General features: G+C 37.5%; 1 long non-coding RNA gene across 1 annotated transcript; it reads left to right on the top strand.

The window, feature by feature from the left end:
• The first annotated feature begins 18,650 nt into the window (after positions 1 to 18,650).
• Positions 18,651 to 24,421, top strand: LOC124903196 (uncharacterized). Its single transcript, XR_007063842.1, has 2 exons — positions 18,651 to 19,200; positions 23,626 to 24,421. It is a non-coding gene; the product is annotated as an uncharacterized LOC124903196 (long non-coding RNA).
• The last annotated feature ends 534 nt before the right edge of the window (positions 24,422 to 24,955 follow it).

The following is a 24,955-nucleotide window of genomic DNA, read 5'->3' as shown; positions in this document are numbered from 1 at the left end:
TCAAGGGAAGTAAATGTCTGGTTCTCTTTCTGGACTGTCTATACTATTCCATTGATTTATGTCTATCCTCATGCCAATACAAGAGCATTTTGATCAGTACATCTTTCTGGTAAACTTTGAAACTACATAGTATGAATTCTCCACTAGGTCCTTTGCTTTTTCATATATATTGTAGAATGAACTTAGCAATTTCTACCAAAAAAATTCCTGCTGATATGTTGATTGGTATTGTTAAATTTTGTAGCATCAGTTTTACATTTTTACAAGATTGAAAAAAATTAAAAGAGTAATATTTTGTGGCATGTGAAAATTAGATAAAATTCAAATTTCAGTGTCCATTAATAAAGTTGTAGTGAAACATAGATAAACTTGTTTATATATTGTCTATGGCTGTCTTCACACTGAAACATAGTGCTGAGTAGTTATAAAAGGGACTATATGATCTACAAAGCCTCAAATATTGATGATCTGGCCATTCTCAGTAAACTTTAGAGAGAAAGTTTACTGACCTCTGATGTAGATTACTGATTTGAGAGTCTTCTTGTTTTCTAATACGGATATTTAATGCTATAAATTTGCCTCCGAGCACTGCTTTACCTGTGTCCCACACATATTGATGTTGTGTTCTTATTTACTTAATTCAAAATATTTTCTATTTTCCTTGTGATTTCCTCTTTGTCCCATTTGTTATTTAAAAATGCATTGTTTTATTCTCAAATATTTGAGGACTTCCAGACATATTTTCATTATTGATTTCTAGGCTTAATTCCTTCTTTTTATCTCTTTTATTATTTGGCCTAGTGTTATCATACATTTTAGTTTTACATGTTATAAGCCTCACAATATAGTGTTGCTATTTTTACTTTATAACATTAATTATATTTTAATGTGAAGAAAGAAAAAGAAAGTATTTTATATTTACCTTCATTTCTAGCCTTCCTGGCATTCTTCATGTCTTTATAAGTCTTTTGGTAGTTGCATTGTTCCTGATGAGAAAATACTGTCACTCTTATCTTTGTTTCTCTGTACTTAAAGTACAATTGTTTCATGAATACCTGGGCCACCAAGCAGGTGTCCCTTGGGTCTTTTTCCCTGCCCTCAATATTTCTTGTGAACATCTTATGGAAGCACGTGAAAAAGAGATTGCAAGTGTATATGAATTACCCTTATATCTGGGTCCCCTGGCTATACCTAACTTGTTTAGTTACCTATACTTGGCCTTTAAACATGTACCATTTTAGGTTATTTCTTTATACCCACTTATATTCACCTCTTCCTTCCATACTCTGCTAAGATGAAGCCATTTATGTGTTTCATCTTACCTTGGAGGGACTTGTAACTCACTGGAACTCAATTTAATTCGTTGCTATGACACCTTACCTTTTTGATTGGCTCAAAAAGTTTTTATTTTATAAATTTTTAAACTTTTTTCATTATTGGATTTGAAAGGACATCTTCTATAGATTTCTACATCCCAAGTGAAATCAGAACTCAAGGATTTATTTAAAACTGTCTTCAGAGACAGTTTAAAATCAACAGGAAAACTGAGTCTGTTGATCCCCTTTGCACATCTTTTTTAAATCACTTATGATATTCCCAGCTTCACCCATCTTAATCCCCCAACTTGGCTCTATATGCCAGTTTGAAAAGCCAAGTTAACCTTCACAGAATTAAGATGTATAGTCTTTGAATATATTAAAGGATGTGTTACAGGCTCTCAAAGAAATTCTTAAAGAGGAGTACTAAAAACATGTGAAAATTAGAATGTGTTTTGTCCTCAAGTTAATTGCTTTGAAATGTAACACTTATTACATGTAAGAGATTTTTGATCTGTTCATTTAAAGGAATCAGTTATATACCTTTTTGATAGAAGAATCATAGTAGTATTCTTCCAATTGCACAACATCAATAACTCTTTCTTTGACCAGCAAATAGACATTGAGTACCTTCTAGGGACTCCGTTAAGTGAACTCAGGTATCAGAAGGACATTTCAACATGACTTCTTTCACCCCAGAGAATAAGAAAATTTACTCTTAAACAGTATTGATTCCAAGTGCAAATTCTAGAGAATAAGAATATTCAAAATTTTACAGTATTTATTATGAGTGCAAAGGAATTCAAAGAAGGGAAAGAGCATGCCCTGGAGAGGCAGGGAAAGCTTCAAGGAGCTTGAGATGAACCTGGAAAGATGGCTTGAATTAATATTAACAAAGGGAAGGAGAGGAGAGAGGCCTGCAAAAACACAGAGGCCGGGGCTTATGAATAGGCCAACCTGGCTGGTGTGGTGTTTGCATATTAGGGCATAGTGGGAAATGAAGATAGGTTTGGGTCAAATTGTAGAATGCCTTTAAACATGAGAAGAGGAGTTTAGATGTTTAATGTCTTAGAGAAGAGGAAGTGATTGTAGACTCTGGAGCAGAAGAAATGCCATGATAAAATATATATTTTAGGAAATTTTAACTAAAAATAACACTTGGGAGTTTTAGAGCAGGAATTGTAGAACAGTCTATTTTAGCAATACAGGTATGAGAATCTGAAATAGAATAATGTGCAAATTGCTCTAGGCTTCCATATTTTTATATTGATATTATTTTCCCCAGAATTTCTATGATATTTATCCCTATCATTTATTTGTCAGTTATTTACTATCTGCATAGTAGTCATCCTATTTTGGCATTTCACATACCTCCTTCACTAAATTACTTGCTGGGACCATATTGTATATTTAAACTTTTTAATGCACCAGTAAGTTCCTAAAATTGTTTGCCCACATTTGGAAAAAAAGAAAAATGAGCAAGATTATTGATATTAAGTACATTACAGAATTTAATTTAAAAATCTTAATAAGAAATGTAGAAGACAGAAGAGATAAACCTAGGAGATTAAATGAATAATGATATACTTAGAAAATGATTTCTTGTGGTGATAGGGAAAGTTGGTGAGTTAAGTTTTAGCTGTGTAAGATTTAAGGATATCCAACTAGAAATATTACGTTGGCTTTTGAAAACAATGCAAGTGAGAACTCATCCATATTTTTACCTATCACTTATCATAATCTCTTCTTATGACATTATCTTATTTTGACATCATTGATCACCTACTCTGTTTCAAACAATTGTGAATTTTATCTCTGTAAGTATGGTAAATGTAGGGTCTATATCTAATTTATCTTTGATTTCCTCAAAATACTTGGCATAGTTTTACATTATAGGTTATCAATATACATTTGTTATATCAATGAGGATATTGACAAATATTTACAAGTGTTTCTCAACCTCAGCAGTATTGACATTTTAGACTGAGTGGTTCTCGATTCTGAGGGCTGTCCTGCTTACTGTAAGATGCTTAGCACCATCTTTGGCCTCTGTCCACCAGATGCCAGTAGTATTCTCATTCCCCAAGTTGTGACAATTAAGAGTATCCAGACATTGTCAGATGTCCCCTGGGGGAGGAGGTGGCACAACATCAGCCCTGGTTGGAAAACCACTGGTTTAGATAGATGTAGGATCAGGATATCAATATTTAGGAGTCATTTGATTACAGATTATACTTCAAGTCTTGGTTCCATAACAAAATGGAACATAGAGAAGAAATAGCTGATGGCTAAGAACAAGCTTTGGATAACGAGTATAAAATTGCAGGGGAGTGGGTAAGTGACAAGGGAGTTTCCAAACTAGTTACTAATTCCATAATTCTCTTACTCTTGGTACATAGTATCAGCTCAGCAGTGTCCAATAGAAGCAGTGTGAATCACAAATGTAACTTTAAATTTTCTGGTAGCCATAATAAATACAAAGAACCAGATAAAATTAATTTTAATAATACATACTATTTAATCCCATATATCCAAAGCATTACCATTTCAATATGTAATGAATATAAAATGTTAATGAGATATTTACATTCTCTCTTGCATGAAGTCCTTGAAATGGCTGTGTATTTTACACTTATTTCCATTTGTTCTATTCATTTTAAGTGCTCAACAGCCACATGTGCTAGTGTCTACCATATTGGATAGAGTAGGACAATTTAATCGATTTAAATAAATGTTTTCTTGTCCCTTTAATTAACATCATTATCATTTTCATAAAGGGAGCTACAATGCCTACTGACATGTCTGAAGTGTTTGCAAATTTACTTTTTACTTTATAAACAGTAAGTCACTTTTTGGGTGTGGAGTTCCATGAGTTTTAATAAATGCATGGAGTCAGGTAATCATTACCACAATCAGGATATAGAAAATTCTCACCTCCCAAAACTCTTTTGTGCTGCTCTTTTGTAGTCAACTTCTCCCCCTATACCTAGTCCCAATATTTTTATTTTTGGGGAGTAAGATTCTCCCCTTTATCAAAAACAAATTTCAGGAAAAAAAGATAGACGGCAAACAGAAAGACAGTTAAGGAAGATGCAACCCTTGACATTTGAGAGTATATTCCTTTCAAAAGCTCATTTGCAATTATAGCTCTGCTTGACTTGAAGTCACACAAGCCCACTCAGAGAGGAGGACATGTGCTTCCCCTTCCCCCACATTCATCTGTCATTCCTCTGCAGGTTACAAGAATAGGAAGGCCTCTCCCAGAATACTCCCTATGACAGATGGTAAAATTACGCCAGGAGAGACCCAGAAGAGAGATGCAGGCAAGAACTACACAGGTGGGAGACTTTCCACAGAAACAAGGGTCTAAAGAGGGCCCCCATCAGATGCTAAACAGTCCTTATGCTTAACTTTCTGGGTCCTCAAATTTCTCTGTTTCATGGCTTCTTTGCTCTCCTAAGGAGAGACACCTGGGAACAACAGCCTTCTAATGCACGTGCAGTTCCTGCAGCGGACGGGCCTGGATTGCTGACCTTATTAAAGTGTAGGTGACTTGGGTTGTGCCAAACACCGTGAGGGCAGGTGTCCTTGGGCCAACTGACAGCAGTGGCTCTGGCTTTGCTGTGACTCTCAGAATTTCCATTCTGTTAAAAAAACCTAGGAAGCAGATGGGAAGAGGCATGTGGAGGCACCTCCCTCACATATATGTCACCATTGGCACCCAGGTTGGGAAGAGGAAGGTCGCCTGTTTGCTTGATGCTGTTCCAGGAGCTCATTCCTACTATGCTGCCCTTAGAATCATACTTTTTCTACTTTAAGTTTTACAGAAATAGAGTTCAGCAAGTCACTCACACACCCACCAACACACACCCAGACATACAATACACACAGGCGAGCACTTTACCCTTAGTTCACGTTCTTGAATACTTGTCTTTGCATTTTGCAAATGTAACAACATAATTATGTTCTTCAGGATGCAGGTCTGTTCCTGGACCTCTCCTTAGTATTCTCTATGCTTTATCTACTTCTAATATCTCTTTTTATCCCCCACCCACCCTTACATAAATATAAAGCTTAAAAAACATCAAGAGATTGCGAGAACATAAAGGAACACACTGACCTAAAGATATATGCACTAACTGGGCAAGTACTTTGAGTAACTATTTTGTAAAACTTTAAGTAGAAAAACAATTACATAAAAGCAAGAATGTCCTTTTGACCTCACATCTTATTCCTCCCACAATCTCCCAGCAACATGCATATACTGGAAAATCTGGGGACCATCCCAAAACCTGCATGTCTGCAACAGATGACTGTTGATTAGTTTATCCAAGTCATTTCAAGTTTACCACACAGTTCGACTAAATCAAGGATCCTCATTGGCATATTTGGAAGGGAAAATGTCCTGTTTATTGGAGCTTGCTAGGCAAAGTAGAAAAAGGGAAGTAGTGGCAGAGGCAGTGCCGTATGTTCACAAATTCTTGTTTCGTTTTCTTCCTGGGAAAGTGGGAAGATTACCTTTTTCCAGTCCCCACTGCCAACTGGATTCTGACTAATGAGATATGAACTGGAAGTGTTACATGTAACTCCCAGATCTAGTGCCTAAAACCGCCCACTCAAACCGCCATACACTCCTTGTGGGTTAACCTGACACAGGACATCCCATGAGGACTCATGACCCCTGGGATAGTGAGCCACTGGGTCCCTGCGTGAGTGTGGAGCAGAGCCTCTACCCCCAATTCATTAAACCACATTGGACTGTGAGGTGAGCAAGAAATAAAACTATTTGAGTCACTGAGCTTCTACAGTTGTTTGTAATCCATAGCATTTTTCACTTCCTGATCAACACAGGTACCAACCACCTGACTGTCAACTTTCTTTATCTCTGGCCTCAAGGTAATTAATTGTACCAGATACTCCTTTGGGTTGGATGTAGCTGTGAGAGGTATGATGCTTATCACTTTATGGTGACCAAGGATTATCAAGTGTCCTGTCTGATTTGACTACTGTCCACTATCCAACTTTTATTTGCTTGGTTTGCCTGTAGAAAAAATCTTTAGGGACAAATTGGGTCTCCTGACATCACTGAGGCAAGCACCAGTTAGATACTTATTGAAGCCTGATTGGTGGTATGCTGGTAAATGTTAAACAACTGGTTCTCTTGGAAAAATTATATGCATATGTATTAAGTACATATATTTATTAATTTTACTGATATCAAGAATATGCAGCACACAATTCACAAGTAATAATAAAATGTACAATATTTTTATAATAAATTTATACAGCGAGTTGTCTTTTGCAGAATGCTTTCATTGATTTTTGCCAAATTCTTGCATCTACGGCCAAACTACTATTGCAATTCAACCATGATTTGACACATAGAGTTGCATCCCAATTTGCCAGCTCTTTTTCTAACACATTTATCATCATTATATCTGATATATGGTCTGCCGTTAAACTATTTGTCACCTTCAAACAAATTATATTCATTAAACTGAAACTTCTTTCAACTTCGGCACTACATATATTAGATTTTTACTCACTTGTGAATTACATGAACAACTGTTTTGCTGAATTAGTTAATAGTTTTTGAATACCGTCAGAATATTTTCCCAATGTTGTATGCTAGTGACAGTGTAATGGCAATCCACATGACCCCTTTTCTTATGTTTAACCTGTATTATTAACATGTTTTTCCATCAGTATTTTAAGTCTAGTTGAGAGATTGGCAAATGTTTTCTGTAAAGAGACAAATATAAAATATTTTAGGATTTGTGGGCCACATAGTTTCTCTCGCCACTACCCAGCTCAGCCATTGTAGTCCAACAGCAGCCACAGACAAAACAGAAACAAGTGGGCATGGTTGTTCTTTAATAAAACTTTAGAGAAAAAGACCATAGGCTCAATTTGGCCCACTGATTTTGGTTCGCCAAGCCTTGTCTAGATAATCAAAAAAACTATAAATCCAGCCTTGATTTGTAGGGTTTGTCAGTTTGTGTGGTGTAAATACTCCCACCATGGCCAATGCCAGGCTGATGTGAGTTGGGAAGACGTGCAGTAGCACGGTCTCATGTGATATTTCCACCATTCATATGCAATAGAAAGAACTGCAAGAGCATAGATGATACTACAATGTAATAAAATAATTAGGAAGTAACCTCGTGTATTTATCACCTGTGTTTTTAATGTAATTTAATTGCAAGACTATGTAATTTAATTGTAACACTATATAATTTACTTTTAATAATGACTGCATTTCTGAGATCATGACACTGCACTCCAGCCTGGGTGACAGAGCAAGACCCTATCTAAATAAATAAATAAACAAATAAAGGCTGTGTTTAACAACTTGCTTACAAAATTCTTGAAATTTTTTATTTATTATTATTATTATTATTATAATTATTTTACTTTAAGTTCTCAGATACATGTGCAGAATGTGCAGGTTTGTTAAATAGGTATACATGTGCCATGGTAGTTTGCTGTACCTATTAACCCATCATCTAGGTTTTAAGCCCTGTATGCATTAGGTATTTGTCCTAATGCTCTCCTTCCCCTTGCCACTATGCCCCAACGGGCCTATTTTTATTTTTTTATCAATACATAGTTAGAAACATTTATGGTATACATGTGATATTTTGATGCATGCATTCAGTGTGTAATGATCAAGTCAGAGTAATTAAGTCATCCATTACTTTACACATTTATCATTTCTTTGTGTTGGAAACGTTCAAAATCTTCTCTTCTAGCTATTTTGAAATATACAATAAATTATTGTCAACTATATCATCCTACTGTGCTACAGAACACTAGAACTTATTCCTTCTTTCTAACTGTATCTTTGTATCCATTAACCAACCTCTCTTCATCCTCCTCCTCCCTACCCTTCCCAGCCTCTTGTAGCCATCATTCTAGTTTATGAGATCAACTTTTTTAGCTCCCACATATGAGTGAGAATGTGCAATAAAATTTTTGAAAATTTAGTAATCGGGTCTCACAAGGCTGTATAATCTTGTTCTACTACATCACTTGATCCCCAACAGTTTCTCTTCTCCACAGCTGTTGCATCACAGTAGAAGCATATCTTTATTTATTTTCTCCAAAAGCATGGTTAGAGTTATTAGAAAGTAAATATTATTGAATCAGTTATTTTGCTCCAAAGATAAGTTTGTCAACACTTAAAACTCAAAGCATCCATCAATCCTTATTCATATGTTCAAAGTTATTACAGATTCATTATATACTTTAAAGTAAAACATGTTCAATATTTTCCTTACACATACTTTGACTATAACTCATTCTTATTTAAGGGTAGATATGACAGATTACGATGTTTGAAAAAGTCTTATACACAACTTTTTACCCTTTTTAAAGATCCACTCCAAGTTTAGATAATCAAAGCCTCAAATGTAAATAAACTGCAGCAAAAGGGATCTTTTAATAGAAAGTCTATGCATGAAGTAACCTGGTTTAATGAAAAGGATGCTGTCGTGATTTGATTCTGTGTCCTCACCCAAATCTCATGTTCAATTGTAATCCCCAGGGCTGGAGTTGGGGCCTGGTGGGAGGTTACTGGATCATGGGGGTGGTTTCTCATGGTTTAACATCATCCCCCTTGGTGCTGTTATCACAATGGTGAGTTCTCATGAGATATGATGGTTTAAAAGTGTGTGGCACCTCCCCACTCACTTGCTTCCTCCTGCTCCCACCATGTAAGATGCCTGCTCCCACTTTGCCTTCTGCCATAAGTAAAAAAGCTCCCTGAGACCTCCCCAGAAGCAGATGCCGCCATGCTCCCTGTACGGCCTGCAGAACTGTGAGCCAATGAAACCTCTTTTCTTATAAATTACCCTGCTCAGGTTATTTCTTTGTAGCAGTGTGAGAACTGACTAATACAGATGCCAACTTTAGCATTTGAGAAATGTAGATTCAAAACCCTGCTTTGACACCTGTAACTTACGTAACCTCTTTAAGCCTCAGTTTCCTATTATGCAAAATAGGTCATAAAGTTGTCAGGAGGCTTAAATCAGAACAAAAAAATGTGAAATACTTACCACAATGTTCAGCTCATATAAAGCGTTTGGTAAATACAAGCTATTATTATTATTCACTGAAATTTTCATATTACTGCATTAAATTTTCTAATAATGAAGCTGGTGATGTTAATAGTGATTTAAATGCTATACTTAGTCACAATTTTAACAGTTCCATATTGGGACTGAGGACCTAGTATTTCAGATACATATATCCTCTTTGCCGTATATCAGGTACTAGCAGTTGTGGTATATAATCAAAATTTCTCAGATCTGCAAGGTTGAATTGGCAATTACCAATTGTCCATGTGGTAAACTAAGTTTCTACATACTTTCAAAATAGATACAACCATCCCAAAACGGCCTGCTACCACTTGAAAATAACCTGGTGGCCTACTATCTCAGTGATTTTCCCACCTTACTTGGTAAAGCCATGTAAGAAGGCTAACCATAGCTGCATAGATGCACTTGGTGAAGGTTAGCTTTACCTCCTCCTGTTGTGTCTCAGGGATGGGTAGTGTTAGATTTGACCATGATGTTAAGATTAAAGCTTCATCCTAGACTATTTATACAAATACCCAAATAATTGTTTGGGGAGATCTCTTATTAACTTCAATTTGAAGTGAAATACAGTGCCATCAAACATGCTTGAGAGTTTCAACCCAGTATGTAAGGAGCACAGAGGCATATTTTGGTATTGTCATATATTGGTTTCTTCTTCTTCTTTTTTTTTTTTTTTGAGATGGAGTCTCGCTCTGTCACCCAGGCTGGAGTGCAGTGGCGCGATCTCGGCTCACTGCAAGCTCCGCCTCCCGGGTTCACGCCATTCTCCTGTCTCAGCCTCCAGGCATGTGCCACCACGCCCGGCTAATTTTTTTTTATTTTTAGTAGAGACAGGGTTTCACCTTGTTAGCCAGGATGGTCTCGATCTCCTGACCTTGTGATCCGCCCGCCTCAGCCTCCCAAAGTGCTGGGATTACAGGCGTGAGCCACCGCGCCCGGCATGTATTGGTTTCTTTATCTCCTACAGCTTTTAATGGTGATAGCAAAACCACATTAAAAATTTGATTCACTGTTTCACTTTGAATTTTCCCAAGTTCCTATGGAAATGACCCAAAGTATAGCTTTTATTAACATTTTATCAAAACTTAGACACTCATGGCAGTAATCAAAACTCATATTCTAGACCACCTAAGAGTTGCTGATGACATCAATCCCATGTCATCAACTGATGATAAATAAACTTGGTACATTTGGTGAAAGCATTTTCTTCATCATACTCAGAACATACATTTAAAAATAACTATGTGCTCTTTTGCTTTGATTTTTTCAAATAGGAGAAATAAAACCGTCACCAGTCCCAATACTGGTCAAACAGCTTCCTGAAGAAATGAAAAAGTAACTTCTATTCTTTTTGTTTCTGTTCTTACTTCCTTTTTTCTTTCAAGGAATATGTACTTAAATGTGACTTCTATATTTTGATAACCAGATACCTTACAGCAATTTGCCATTCTTGAGCTAAGCTGTATTTTGCTCTCTTTATCTTTTAATTCTCCAATTTCAAGCACATAGGAAAGCCCTTAATATTTTCTTGCCCAGGGAATTGTTGAAGAGCGGAACGCAAAAGCCCTAGGCTCTTCTTCCTGCCTTTTGTGAAAGCCTAAATACGGGAAGAGATTACGCTGGGCTTCCCAGAGAACAGGCGGGAGGGACGGCTCTTTACGGGAATATCTGTGAGGTAAGAAGGGGAAATATTCTTTAGCAGTGGGCTTTGTGAGACATTAACAGAAATGTTCAGCATGCCCAGAAACTGCTTTGGTAGCCTTGAGAAGAGAACTGGTTTTCGTAACTTCAGCGATCAGGAAGTTGCAGCAAGAGCTCCTTGAGTCACAGGGGCTCCTAATGAAGGCAGTGCAGTGGCAAACAGAGGAGAAAACTTGGTAAGCAGTGGAACTCTCTGCAGAACAACTCTCTTCCTACTTCCACAGGTAGATAAAGTCTTACCTGGGCAAAGAATAGATATGAGAGAGAAAGAGAGAGAGAGAGAAGTTTTTCCTTCCTTTTTAAGGATGAAAAGATTTGAATATAAAAATATATTATTTCTCTTTCTCTCTATATATTTTTTCAAGACAACTTATTTGAGCTCCACATATTGGATGCACACAAACATCTAAAAGAATAACAAAACAAAGAAAAATATTATACAAGAAAAAAATTCCGTAGTTCAAAAAAAGTGATGCATCTGAATTATCGGAGGAAACGTTCTGTGAAGAGACAGATCACGCACCAAGCTGACTTCAGCAGAAAACTGTTTTTAAAATGTAATTTATATTCTCAATGGATTCCATAAGGTATTATATAAATGAAAAAGGAACAATTTGAGAACAAGAAAGAATACTTTCAGAGAGAAACTGTTGGACTAAAAATGGCAAATAGAGTGGAGGCCTTAAAGAACAGAATGAATAGTAAATCAAGAAATTAGATAAACAGCTTGTGAAATTCTCCATAGCTCAGAGTGAGAAAAAAAAAAAACCCACAAGTAATGACTATAAAAAATTTAAAAGCAAAAAGAATAGATCCAAGAGATGTAATATAAATAAAATAGGAAAGTTGTCTTCATTTATTTTCCTACAGAAAAACAGTAACAAAAAAAGGTGTTTCTATGCATCTGTGTGTATGTTGGGGAGCATGAGGGTTGTCGGGAAAGGAAGCAGAGGCTGCCACAGGTGGAGTATCAGGTGATCCACGACAAGCAGAAACTGTATTTTAAACATTTTATTGTGTTTTTAGAATTATTGCACATATAAATTGTATCCCAAAATATATCCAAGTTTTTATTTTTTAATTTTCCCTTTTTTTTGAGATGGAGTCTCACTCTGTCGCCCAGGCTGGAGTGCAGTGGTGCAATCTTGGTTCACTGCAACCTCCTCTGCCTCCCAGGTTCTAGCGATTCTCCTGACTCAGCCTCTTGAGTAGCTGGGATTACAGGTGTGCATCACCACACCCAGCTAATTTTTGTATTTTTGTAGAGACGGGGTTTCATCATGTTGGCCAGGCTGGTCTTGAACTCAGGTGATCCAACCACCTCAGCCTCCCAAAGTGCTAGGAATACAAAGCACTAGGATTATAGGTGGTGTGAGCCACCATACCCAGCCCAAGTTTTTAATTTAACATCATGGGAAAGAACGTATTTCACAGAGCATTCTGCTACTTGCATAAGCTGCTGAAAAGTGCTAAAAAGTAGATCAACATTTAAATATATATTATTACACATAACAAATAAATGACTACCCAAAAAGTTAAGGAAACATGGAAGTCACTTTTGTTTTGAGAGTTTGGCAATCCCAATTTATTATAATCTTTGATGGCCTTCTCAGTGGACAGAGACTAGACAGAAATCCAATGGCCTGTACAAGATGGAGCATGCTATAAGAAATGCTCTGCAGTCCAACTCCCTGCACCCCTTATCACACACCCCTCAAAAAATAACTGCTGAGATTCCAAGTAATGTACTCAAAGGTGTGGGCAAACCAAAGTAGTAAAGCTCAAGGGGAGTTTCCTGCTAGTTTTGAATTATTTGGTTACACAGGTAATGTAAAGCCTGGAATTTTGTTTAAGGCAATTATAGAATTATAGGGACCACAAGTGCCTTGGAGAAGCAAAATTAAACACTTTCTAGAGGGAAGTACCTCCACTATATGCTCAACTAATTTCTGCAAATAACTTTCCATATGCATTGTAGCACACAGCCAAAGATACAACCAAACACCCAATGAAATTAGTCTTCATGAGTAAAACCAGAAAAATAGAAAACAGCAAAATACCCTAAAATACTTCATATATTGGGACTGTTAGACACAGACTGTAAAACAACTGGGCTATGTATAAAGAAACACTCAATAAGCTTAAATATATTTGCAGAAACACAAAACCATTTTTAAAAATGCAACATTGCATGTTTGAAAAATAATCAGATAAAAGTTTTATAAATTAAAAAGAAATTAACCGAGTTTGTTTTTTTTTCTTTTTAAAAGATGGCTTTACCAGCAAATTAGACACCCTAAAAGAGAGAATTCCTAAACTGGAAGATAAGTTAGAATAAATTAAATACACACAAAAAACAAAACTAGGGGTAATAGAGAAGAGAGAATAAGAGTCAGAAGATAAAGTGAGAACATTTTAAATGTATAGAACCAGAATTCAAGAAAGAAAAAAAATTGAATGGGACAGAAGCTATATTTGAAGAGCCACTAATGGCAGATTAGACAGTGAAGGCAAAATTGATGAATAGGTCAAAAGAAATATCAAAACTGAAGTCATAGAGAGAAGAAACACTTGAAGTTACCTAAAGGAGCATTCATGATATGGGGCAGAACAATAACATGTAAGATCTTTGTAATCAAAGCCCCAGGAGAAAAGGATAGAATAAATGAGACTAAGCCAATATTTAAAGAGATGATAGCTAAGAGTTTTCCAAAGATGACAAACGGCACCAGTGCACAGATCCCACAAACCCAATGAATCCAAAGCAAGATATATAAAAAGAAATCTACACCTAGATGCATTATGGAGAAACTGCAGAAAATCAAAGACAAAGAGAAAATCTTAAATGCAGACAGAGAATAAAGATAGATTACCTTCAAAGAAACTACAGTAACACTGACAGTTGATTTCTCAACATAAATAATAGAATACAGAGGTTTGTGGAGTGATATCTTCAATACATGTAAAGAAAATAACTTGCAAGTGGAATTTTATACTCATTAAAATATCTTTTAAGACTAAGGTGAAATAAAGATATTTCAGTCAAATGAATCTTAGGAGAAAATACATCCATAAGAGGTAAGTCCACACTGCAGATTTACTACCTAAGGGGGAAATGGACCAGGTCTAAGAAGCAGGCCTGCTTCTGAGTGACCCAGGTGAGGTTAGAGAGTGCAGAGAAGCTAAAGGTATAGGGGTAAGGTGGAAAGCTGAAAAGTGCTAAACACTGGATCAACATTTAAATATATATTATTATACATAACCAATAAATGACTACCCAAAAAGTTAAGGAAACATGGAAGTCACTTTTGTTTTCAGAGCTACATAACAAAGTCCTGATGAGAAGAAAGGGTTGCTTTAGCTTTTTAAAGTATACCTTCTTTGTTTCCATCATACTACCAGCCTGAGATGGTTGTCAACACTCCCACATAAATTTCAAGCCTAATAATGGACAAAACAAGACACAGACAGTGTAAGACAAGTAAGGGACATCCCACCTAACTTTCTTCCCAGGAAACCGTGCCCCCTATTATCTGAGCTGGCTACTTCATGACCAAGAATAAAATGTTAGGGAAATGGGATGGAGAGAGGGAGGCCAAGTCTATTCCCAAATATTTAAGATTCTTACTTTTTAAAATAACTGGTATTGAGAATGCTGTCAGGACAATTCAGTCATGAGAGGGAGCTAGTAAGACTTAAAATGTAAACTCTTAATGATATCTTAATGAATCCAACAATTCTACAACTAAACAGCCCTTTGCTGAGCTCAGAGGCTCTCAGGAGAAGCCTTGAGAGCCGTTGACTAAATAAATCCCCATTGCTACTGAGCTGATGCCTGAGTTGCCCAAACAAGAAGCTGCTCAGGCTAAGTGCTGTCACCTCCACCCACGACTTTGATTGGGGCATATGCCTGAAGACACTATTGCTTGCTCTGTCCATGGGATTTCTAACTGCTGTGTATAGATATGTATATCTATTTATAAATGTGTGTTTATATATGCGTACATATACATATAAACTCTTACAGCTAAAAGGGCCTTAAAAAATAATCTTTCCTCCTTCACAAAATCTAAAATATCCCCAAAGTAATAAAATTGGTAATATCTGAGTGATAGAATTATAGATGGTTACTTTATTAATTTTATGAAATGTTAGGTTACATTAGTAATGGTAAGATTTAAGATTGAATAAATAAAGCAATATGATTCACAGAAATCTCTATAATTGCTAATAAATAATTCTTACAATTTATAGTTTTATATATAAATGTACACATAAAAATTTGTGTATCTCTGTATATCTATTTATAAGTGTATGTTTACATATGCATACACATATACATATAAACTCTTACAGCTAAAAGGACCTTAAAAAATAATCTTGCCCCCTTCACAAAACCTAACATTATCCATTGTGGCCTGTGGCAATTTTAAACCTACTTATGTTTTAATTTCATATTAATCAGCTGATTTGCCTGGAATAGCAGAGAAAGATATAGTCACTGGATACGAAAGCCAGAGGAAACTTAGCAGACTCGATTCAGCCCCCTGCCAGGAAAATGATTAATTTATAATCATAATAAGAGGTGACTAAGGAAATCAAGCCCAAGTTTGTTAACAGGTGTATCTTGGGAGTAATTATGTCTGGGCCAGAAGCCAGTTTCAAGATCACTGTTTTCCAAGTAGAGTTTTATGTTTAGTCCCTTTGCTGTGTTTACACAAGACAAAAACCAAACTGGCAATTGAACCATTTTAGTCAAAATGTTAGAATATCATTCATTTAGTTGGTCAACATGATATGAAACCATCAAATTAATAGATTTTTTGCCCTAAATTGAACAGATGCTTTGGTATCTGTAGGCATAGTCTTTCTCTATGGGATATTAAGGATTTTTACCTTCAAATATCCTACACTCCAAAGTAATCTTCAACAGAGACTTAACTCATATATACATCATACTTAAAAATCTGTTAGTCAATTTCAGGTAGATTAAAGAGTGACTTCATTGTGAAAGATAAAATAATAAAGCTTTCAATATGGAAGAATGTGTTCCATAAGATAAGCAAAGCAAACATTTTCTAACAGGATACAAAAAGCACTAATCATAAAGGAGAAGACTAATGAGTTGAAAACTTTTCTTCATCTAAAGACACCATTTAGAGTATGAAAAGACAAGCCATAATAAGGAGATAATTGCAATGCAGTCTGGGTCCACATACAAAACAGTGATCTTATAAGATTATAACATTGTATTTGTACCACATCTTTTCTACCTTGAGATATGTTTAGATACATGAATACTCACCATCCTGTTATAATTGCCTACAGCATTCAGTACAGTAACATGCTACCCAGGTCTATAGCCTAGAAACAATAGGCTATACCATATGGACTAGGTGTGTAGTAGACTATACCATCTAGGTGTGTGTAAGTACCCTCTATCATGTTCGCACAAGGACAAAATCACCTAATGACACATTTCTCACAACATATCTTCATGGTTGAGCGATGCATGATTGTATTTTCAATGACTAGGAACTCATATCCAGAATATTGAAAACACTTCTACATGATAAGAAACGCATAGACAACCCAAACAAAACATGGACATAAGATTGGAACAGTCACTTTACCAAAAAGATCGATAAACATATGAAAAGTTATTCAGCATCATTAGTTATCAGAAAAATGTAAGTTAAAACTAAAAATATGATCCTACTATATGCCTAACAGAGTGACTATAATGGAATAACCTGACATTATCGAGTGTTGGTAAAAATGTGGAGCAGCAGGAAGTCTTGTACACTGTTCATGGGTGTATTAATCGATACAGTGCTTTTTAGTACTGTAAGACCTACAAAAGCTAAACAGAGGTACACTCTATGACCCAGAATTCTACTCATATATGGTTTCACATATACCAAAAAAAGGCATTTACAAAAATCTTCATAACCAGTAAAAACTCAAATGTCCATGAGTAGTGAAATGGAAAAATAGTGGTATATTCATCTAATGGACTACTATACAACAACGAATGTACTACTGCTACACCCAAAGCCTGGGTAAATCTCACAAACATGTTGAGAACATAAACCAAAAACAAAGACACACTCAAAGTTCACATCATGAATAGAAAGTGACATGACAAAGTGGGTTTATGTTTTTTCCAGCCATGGCCAGCTGCTCCTGTGGAGATAGGGAGAAGGCAGAAAGTGGGATGAATCCAGGGTCTGGGCTTTCCCAGATGATGGCAAAGGGAGGGAAGGAGACAGAAGATAAGGGCACATGCAGAGCAATACGTAACTGTGAATGTGAACCATAGGCTCTAAGTTGGGTAAGGCAAGTGAAAACTCCAGGCCTCATTGGTTTGTAAATCCTGGTGGGGTAGGATAATTTTTGGAGTTGGGGTACATGAGAGAGTGATCTGGCAAAAGGGAGGTGATGATGTCAAAGCAAGGGGACTGAAATTGTGATCAGGACTTACTAATGCACAGTGCATGCAGTACTTACTAATGCACAGGTCTAGGGTGTGACTGTCGGGGTGGGAGGCCAAGACACGGCAGAGTACCGGTGGAGAACGGCCCTCTTCTCCAGTGGTCATTAGAGAAGAGGAGACCACAGAGTTGAGAGGTTGGAGAGTTGGGATGGTCATTTTTGTTGAATCAGCAGGAACTATTTCAGGACACAACTAGTGGGCCAGAAGCTACAATTTTCTGTGACAGAGGACGGTGCTGGGGTCATTGTATAAGTAAGCCTAATCAGGCAGAGTAACTGGAGTGGAGACTGAATGCTTCAATGATGAAAGGGGAGAAAGGTCTGAAAGCAAAGGAAGAAGCCCAGACCTGGGACTAACAGGGCTGAGAGCAAGAAGCTGCCGGGAGCAAATTGCCCTCAGAGGCAACCACGTCTCCTTTAGAACAAGCATTGAGAACAGAGAGTGTTTTGCTACTGAGTGGCTCATTGAAAGAGCACAGTGAGGGGCTGGTGGTCTGTGATAGGGTCATTTGGGGGATCTCATGGGATGGAAATTCATGTGTTAAAGCACATGGAGGTCTTTGGACTCCTTGTGGTACTTTTTGTTTTTTTAAGAGGTCTCATTGTGCACTGTGTTGTCTGGGCTGGAGCGCAGTGGCATAATCATGGCTCACCACAACCTCAAACTCCTGGACTTAAGGTATCCTCCTGCCCCAGCCTCCTGAGTAGCTAGGACTACAGGTGTGCACCACCATGCTTGGCTATTTTTTAAAATATTTTTGTTGAGATGGGGTCTTGCCATGTTGCCCAGGCTGGTCTCAAACTCCTGGCCTCAAGTGATCCTCCCACCTCAGCCTCCCAAAGTGCTGGGAATATAGGTGTGAGCCAAAGTGCCTGGCTGCTTGTGACGCTTAAAGTAAAGTGGAGCAGTGGACAGGATGGAATGAGTGCTGAGACTGCTTACCCTTTGGTGAGGCTGAGGGCTGGGGAGGGAGGAGTGAGCAAGTGAGGCTCTCTTCACTCCAACCAAGGCAGGAATAGAAGCTAAGGGAGCAGCTGCGTTAGAGGAATGCAGAACTCCCAAATTCCAAGCATCCATGATAACCACCTCTCCAGAGAAGTCTAAACAGGCCTGTTTTGGAAGTGAGTGCTAAGAGCAGGCAAATGGGAAGAAATGTCTGCAAAATATCTTTATTATTTTACCATTAACACCAATATTTCTAGGTCAGAAGGAAGTTTGATGAGCTCACCACGCAAGACTACATGGTTACTGACTGGAATGGCCATCAGGAGGGCAGAGAGCCACTGCGCCTCTTTCTGCTGAGGGTTGTGGATACAGATGGGAATTTGAAACCTTCTTTCCTGTTTGTGTGAAAAATTCAGACTACTGGCAAATTCTACCCTGGAAACTGACTATGGGTCAATGGGAGTCCGCTGGCGAATGGATACCGCCTGTTCTGTTTCCAATTCATCAGGAACCATGTGGAGAATTAATATCCTGCCCGTCCAGAAGGAAGGGAGTTATTATGGACAGCAAAGAGGAAAGGTAGCCAAGTTCAGATGTTCCCCAGGCTGTGGCTGCTGAAAGTCAAACAGTATGAAGTATAATGGTAAGTGGGGGGAAAGAAAAACTCAGCCAAGAATAGAAAACGGCACCTTCAGGGGCTAAGGGACAAAGGAGAGCGCTGCTGTCCTAAGATCCGCTCCTCCAAAAAGAGTCACGTTTTTGGTGATTTGATTTCACCACGAAACTGTTTGCCCAGAAGGTAAGTCGTCAGTTAAGGCCAAGGGGGAGGGGCATGTGAAGAGAAGAATGTTTCAAGCTTTTAGATCTCACGCAGTAGAAAAACAAAACCAGGAATCTATTTCTTTCACCTGCCAGAATGACGCTTCCCTTCCTCCAGCTAATTGCTGCTGGGAGAGTCCAGCCTTCTTGTGTTAGCATCCAACCTGGATTACTTTCCTGCAAGCTGATGACATGTAGGCTGGCAAAGGGCAGGTTTGGAGAACTACTGAGTTGGAATCAGAACACTTCCATATAGAGGTGGCACACTTTGCCCCGGAACAATCAGAGAGTAAGGTGTCTGTATACTTCTTGGCTGGCTGGAAATCTCTACGTGGGTTTCAAACCTTAGGTCAGGTTCCCCAAGGCTCTGGCATCTCATCTCTGGAGAGCAAGGTCAGTTTTAATGGTGGAAATTAGTATGAAGGAGAGAGGATGAGCTTCAAGGTGAAGGGAAGCAGCTGTTTAAATAGCCACAGTGTTTACATCATCCTAATCACTGCTGCCCAGCCATTCTCCTGTTTATGCTGGAAGAAGCCCCGCTGGTAGGGGGAATCCCAAGTCAGAGCTGCAGACCAAAGAGCAGACATTAAATTCCACTTAAATACTGGATGCTCTCCCCTCCCAATTGTTCTGGATGCTGCTATACTTGCCCCCCGCCTAGGGGACCCATTATGTAGGAGGTCCCAAATAGCCATCGGTTGTACTTGCTTTCCTGTTGCTCATGCCTTATCCAGCCGAAAGATCAAAAGCAAATGGAACCATAGTGAGATTCTGCACCACCCATCGGGTTTCTGTAGCTCCAGAGAGGGCGAATGAGCATGATGATCACATATTCCCAAAACCGGCCAGGTGCTGGGCCAACAGGTGATTTACTGCTGTGGAAAGCCAATAGGAGATTACTGAAGGGGTCAGGCCATAGGACATCAGTGGCTAAATGATTTCCTAATGGCCTGAAAGAGTCACAGTGCCTCCCTCCCTGCCTAATTTCATAGCAGAGGGTGTCCTTTGGACTAGGGAGAGAAACTGGATTATTAACCCTAGCTGGATGGTTTTTAAGATAAGAGGAAAGAGGGTTGAGGCTTAGGGGAAATGCAGAAAGTTGAAAAATTTGGTTTTCCTAAAAGAGATGTGTCACAGGCATATTTGTGGTTTTTTACATCATGGAACATCTGCTTAGAGGATGTAAAGTTTTTAACCCTTGCACTCCGGGGGGCTGTGTGTGTGTGCGTGTGCACGCGTGCGTGCGCATGCATATGCATATACACACGCATAAGCAGATTTTACATACAATTGCAGAGCTTATGTACTCTTAAAGTTTATCCATAAAGCCCAGTTTAAGAAGTTCTGCCCTCTATAGGTTAAGAGGGAAATGCTTTATCCAATAACAAAATCTTTTGAAAACTTCAAAAATGTTTTATATTGGTAGGTAGGAATTCCTCATTGCAACAAATAAGTAGATATTGTTTTTTTTTCTCTTCTATTGAAGTACATTCCCGCACATTTGCCTCTAGATTATTTTTCAGGCATCCCTTGTCAATTTGTCACCTCTAGAATTAAATATGGGTGAAACTTAGTCATCTATTAACAAAATATGCACTTAGCATTTATAATGTGCAAACAAATATGCTAAGAGTATTCAGAGTAGCCCTGCCAAGTATTCAGAGATGAACAATGCATGCCCTAGATGCTCAAAGAGATTCTGCTATAAAAATGAGATACTTACAAAAACAGCTCTAATATGATATAGAATGTGGCATAAAAAAAAGAGTGCAAGGTCAGAAGAGGAGAGTTCATTTCTGGGTGATGTAATCTGGAGTAGCTTCATGAATGATATGCAATTGAAACTAATGTTAACTAAGTGTTTTTCAAACATTTTTATTCCTATACCCTCAGTGAGAAATACATTTTGTGTCATAGTGCAGAACACACATTAATGTAGATCTGGAATAAAAATTTCACAAAACAATATCTTCCCATATTATGAGATATATGCTCTGTTATGTCCCACTCTACTCTACTATACTCTATTGATTTCCACTTAACAAAAAATTCTGGTTGGGACCCATAAAGTTTATTTCCCAATGCAATGAGTTGTTGCCTATTATCTAATAAACACTGCCTTAAAAGATGGCAAGGATGGGGTATTTTGCATTATGAATATCGATCAGTCTTAACAGAAATTCTATGCTATAGGTATCAGTTTTATCCCTGTTTTTCAGATAAGGAAACTGAGACTTTGAGAGGTTAAGTTACATGTCTAAGGTCATGCAGCTCTTACATCGAGCAGCAGGGATCTGAGCCCAGCTCACGGTGACTATGTGAAAACCCATGGAGGGAGGAAACAATATTTGGGGAAGTGTGCAGCTTGGCTATCATGTAGCGTATAAGTAGGAAAATTAGGAGAGATGATTATAAAAGGAATTATATCATTCATTTAGGTAAAATTATTTTTGTCTTTAATCCTTTATCTTATTCCCAACTTCCTCCTGGAAAATCTCCCTGAATCTTCAGTCTGATTTTCCCATACCTGGTTTGTAGTTATACCCATTAAGAAATACAATGTAACTCACAGGAACTTGTTGAAAATTTACGTGCTCAGGAAAACAGAATAAAAATATAACAAGAGACCTATGCCCGCAAAATCTTACTGAGGTAGAAATACCTTACATAACATAACTACAGGTATGTCAACCATGCACATACATGTAAAGTGTAAATTTATTTTCTAAAATGCCACATAGATGGGGCAAATTATAGGTACAATTTGGTAGGCAGGAAAAAGAGGACATATTTTCAATGGGTTCTTGGAATGCTTTAGGAAATGGATGGGAACTGGAAGGATAATATAAAAGGAAGATACAGTCCCAGGTAAGATAATGACAATGTGAAGTTCAAAGAATACTTGGGTAAGGGCTTGTGGGAGGTAGACAGAGAAAGGGGACAGGAGGTGAGAGCAACTGAAGGAGGTTCAAAGGGTGGTGAAGAGATTCAAGGCTGGGATAAGATTATGAAGGACCATCGATGTAGTCGTAATTAAATTCTCATCTTCTATGTTTAATAGTCAATGTGGACTATACATCTGATACATCTAAACTGAGAATTTTATAATAGCAGAGAGAAAAAGTCTAAGTATGAAAACAAAGCAAAAACCTAGCTTGTGTTTAAAGCTTGGAAAGTAATCTCTTGTATCATTTAATTTATTATTAGTGTTACTTCTGTGTATGCTCATATACATGAGAGCACCCACCCTTTGAACTGACCTGGGAACACTTCAGAGTTAATCTGCAGTCAGTGCTGTATTTATATTTTGAGAAATAATGAGGCACTCTCATTTTTCCTCTTTTTTTAATAAAATGCTTTCTAAAGTAATGGGAGGCATATCCATTAGACAGAAAACTCAGTAGTTTAGATTGCTGGGTTCAGGTTCTTAATAATGACTATTATTGCAATGTTAAGGTACCATAGATATCAATCCTCTTCCTATTCTAAAAGTGATCACTTTAGTTCTGTGTTGACTCCCTGGATTATTTGCTATGTGTGTTTTTAATGTATCACCTGTTCAATAGAAAATGGATCTCAAAATATTTCTTTGGATGATCTGTGCTTTACTTTCAGCATCAATACAATGGTAGAATAATTCATGAACTAGACCCACTTTGAATGGCTATTAAAAACAAACATAAAAAGGTGTCTTTAACACCTTCCAAATTCTAAGACAACTGCTATTACAGTTTCCACTGGAAATGTGCCTCTAATAGTCCAATACTCTCCTTTCAGGATTGGCTCGGTAAGAAGGAGGCAATAATGGTTCTTAGCTAATATTAAAGCATCAACTTGGTCATCAGTTGGGTTTTGTGTGTGGGATTTTAAAAGAAAGTAACTAGCCGGATCTTACTCTATCTATTTTGTGTGAACACTGCTAAAAATGGTTTGAGCGTCAAGCATTTGTTCTCAAAAAGTGCACCTGTCTGAAATACAGTTGATTCTTGTTATTCACATTAGCTATGTTTTAGAAAGTTGCTGTAAACACTGATTTAGCAAATATTGAATCATTGCTCCTAGGAAGAACACAGGGTTAAGTTCCTGTGAGCCTTGGGTAACATTTTCATTCATTGATCAATACGTAAGTTTATTTTATCTGCATTTTTGTTTAAAGGCATCCATTTACTATATATTAATTCATTAACATTAAACTTATACCCAACAGCCCTATAACTCATGTCCTATCTAACACATGTATTTTCTCCAGAAGGCATATCACAGCCTTCCTGTACTCAGAAACACTGGACGGCACTTCCACAATATGCTCTGAGGGCCACTTTGAGGAGTGAAAGCACCAACAGCAAGCACAAAAATGAAAAAAAAAAAAAAAGGCACTGCACAGGCTGTGCAAGGACACCTGTTGGCTGTCTGAGAGCTGAAGCTAGAAGGTAGGGTTGCCTGGTTTCCACCTCATCTGGCACATGAGCAGCCAGAGACTCGGATTTTTGCCCCTATGGGCATGTCTACAGATGACTGGAAAAGAGCTGCAAGTATTGATTTTGGGGTCACGAATACATTTTAGCAAGTAGGTAAATTAGCAAATATGGAATCTGTGTATAATGAAGATTGACTATGTCCTATTTCTGTGCTACCCTGAATTTATGTGGATATGTGATGATTTTAACAACACTACGGCTCAATTATGCATGTGACTTCATGCTAGTTTTAGCGCCATTTAGATTTTGAACTGTAAGTTTATCTTGCATGATTTTATTATTTCTTTCCATCCCACTTAAAGAAAGGTAGAGAATTGCCTGTGGTTTACTGGTAGTGGTGACGGTGAATTTCCTCCAGGGCACGAAACTAGCTTTCCAGGGGTAATACGAATCAGCTACAGAGCAACACAAAAGGAATTAATAGAAATGTAATCTCAAAAGGTACTTCTGTTTAAAACCACAAAATCTTATGTACTATTTATTATCTGTAAAACCACAAAATCTTATGTACTATTTATTATCTGTGGGTTGAAAATAAATTTCAGAATCCAAAGAGGATTGAAAGGGTACAAAAACTAAAGGATTGTTTGACATATATGAGTATTTTCTGTTTTTCACTGATTGTTACCAGAGACTAGAATTGTATGATTAAATGAATGGAAATATTGTATCTGTAATGATACTTAGAGAGACTTTATAAATATGGCGGTCCTTACACTCTTTCATACTTATGAGAGGAAAATTTTTGCTGGAGTATGTGAAAATGCTGATCAATCTGTCTGCTCTGCTCACATTTTTCTCAGATCATTTGTGTCTACAGCTGAGAGATGTGAAGCCATATCATGCCACTTTTCCTGGCCAGAGTTGATTAGACCAGGAATGGACACCTGACCCAAGATGGGCTAATAATAATTGTTACCCTAGAGTCATCATAAACAGGGCAAACCATTTAGTGGAATAGAGTATCCAGAAATAGATCCAGAAAAATGTATAAATTTGACAGATGACAAAGGACATATTTCAATTTCTTGAGGAAAAGACACTGTAATGCTGGTGCTAGCATAATTTGCTCTCCATCTAAAAGAAATGAAACCAGACCCC

Source organism: Homo sapiens, chromosome 13, assembly GCF_000001405.40.
Source record: "Homo sapiens chromosome 13, GRCh38.p14 Primary Assembly".
In the NCBI taxonomy this organism is placed as follows: Eukaryota; Metazoa; Chordata; class Mammalia; order Primates; family Hominidae; genus Homo; species Homo sapiens.
The sequence above is the reverse complement of the archived record's forward strand: the minus strand, read 5'-3'. Positions and strand labels throughout refer to the sequence as shown.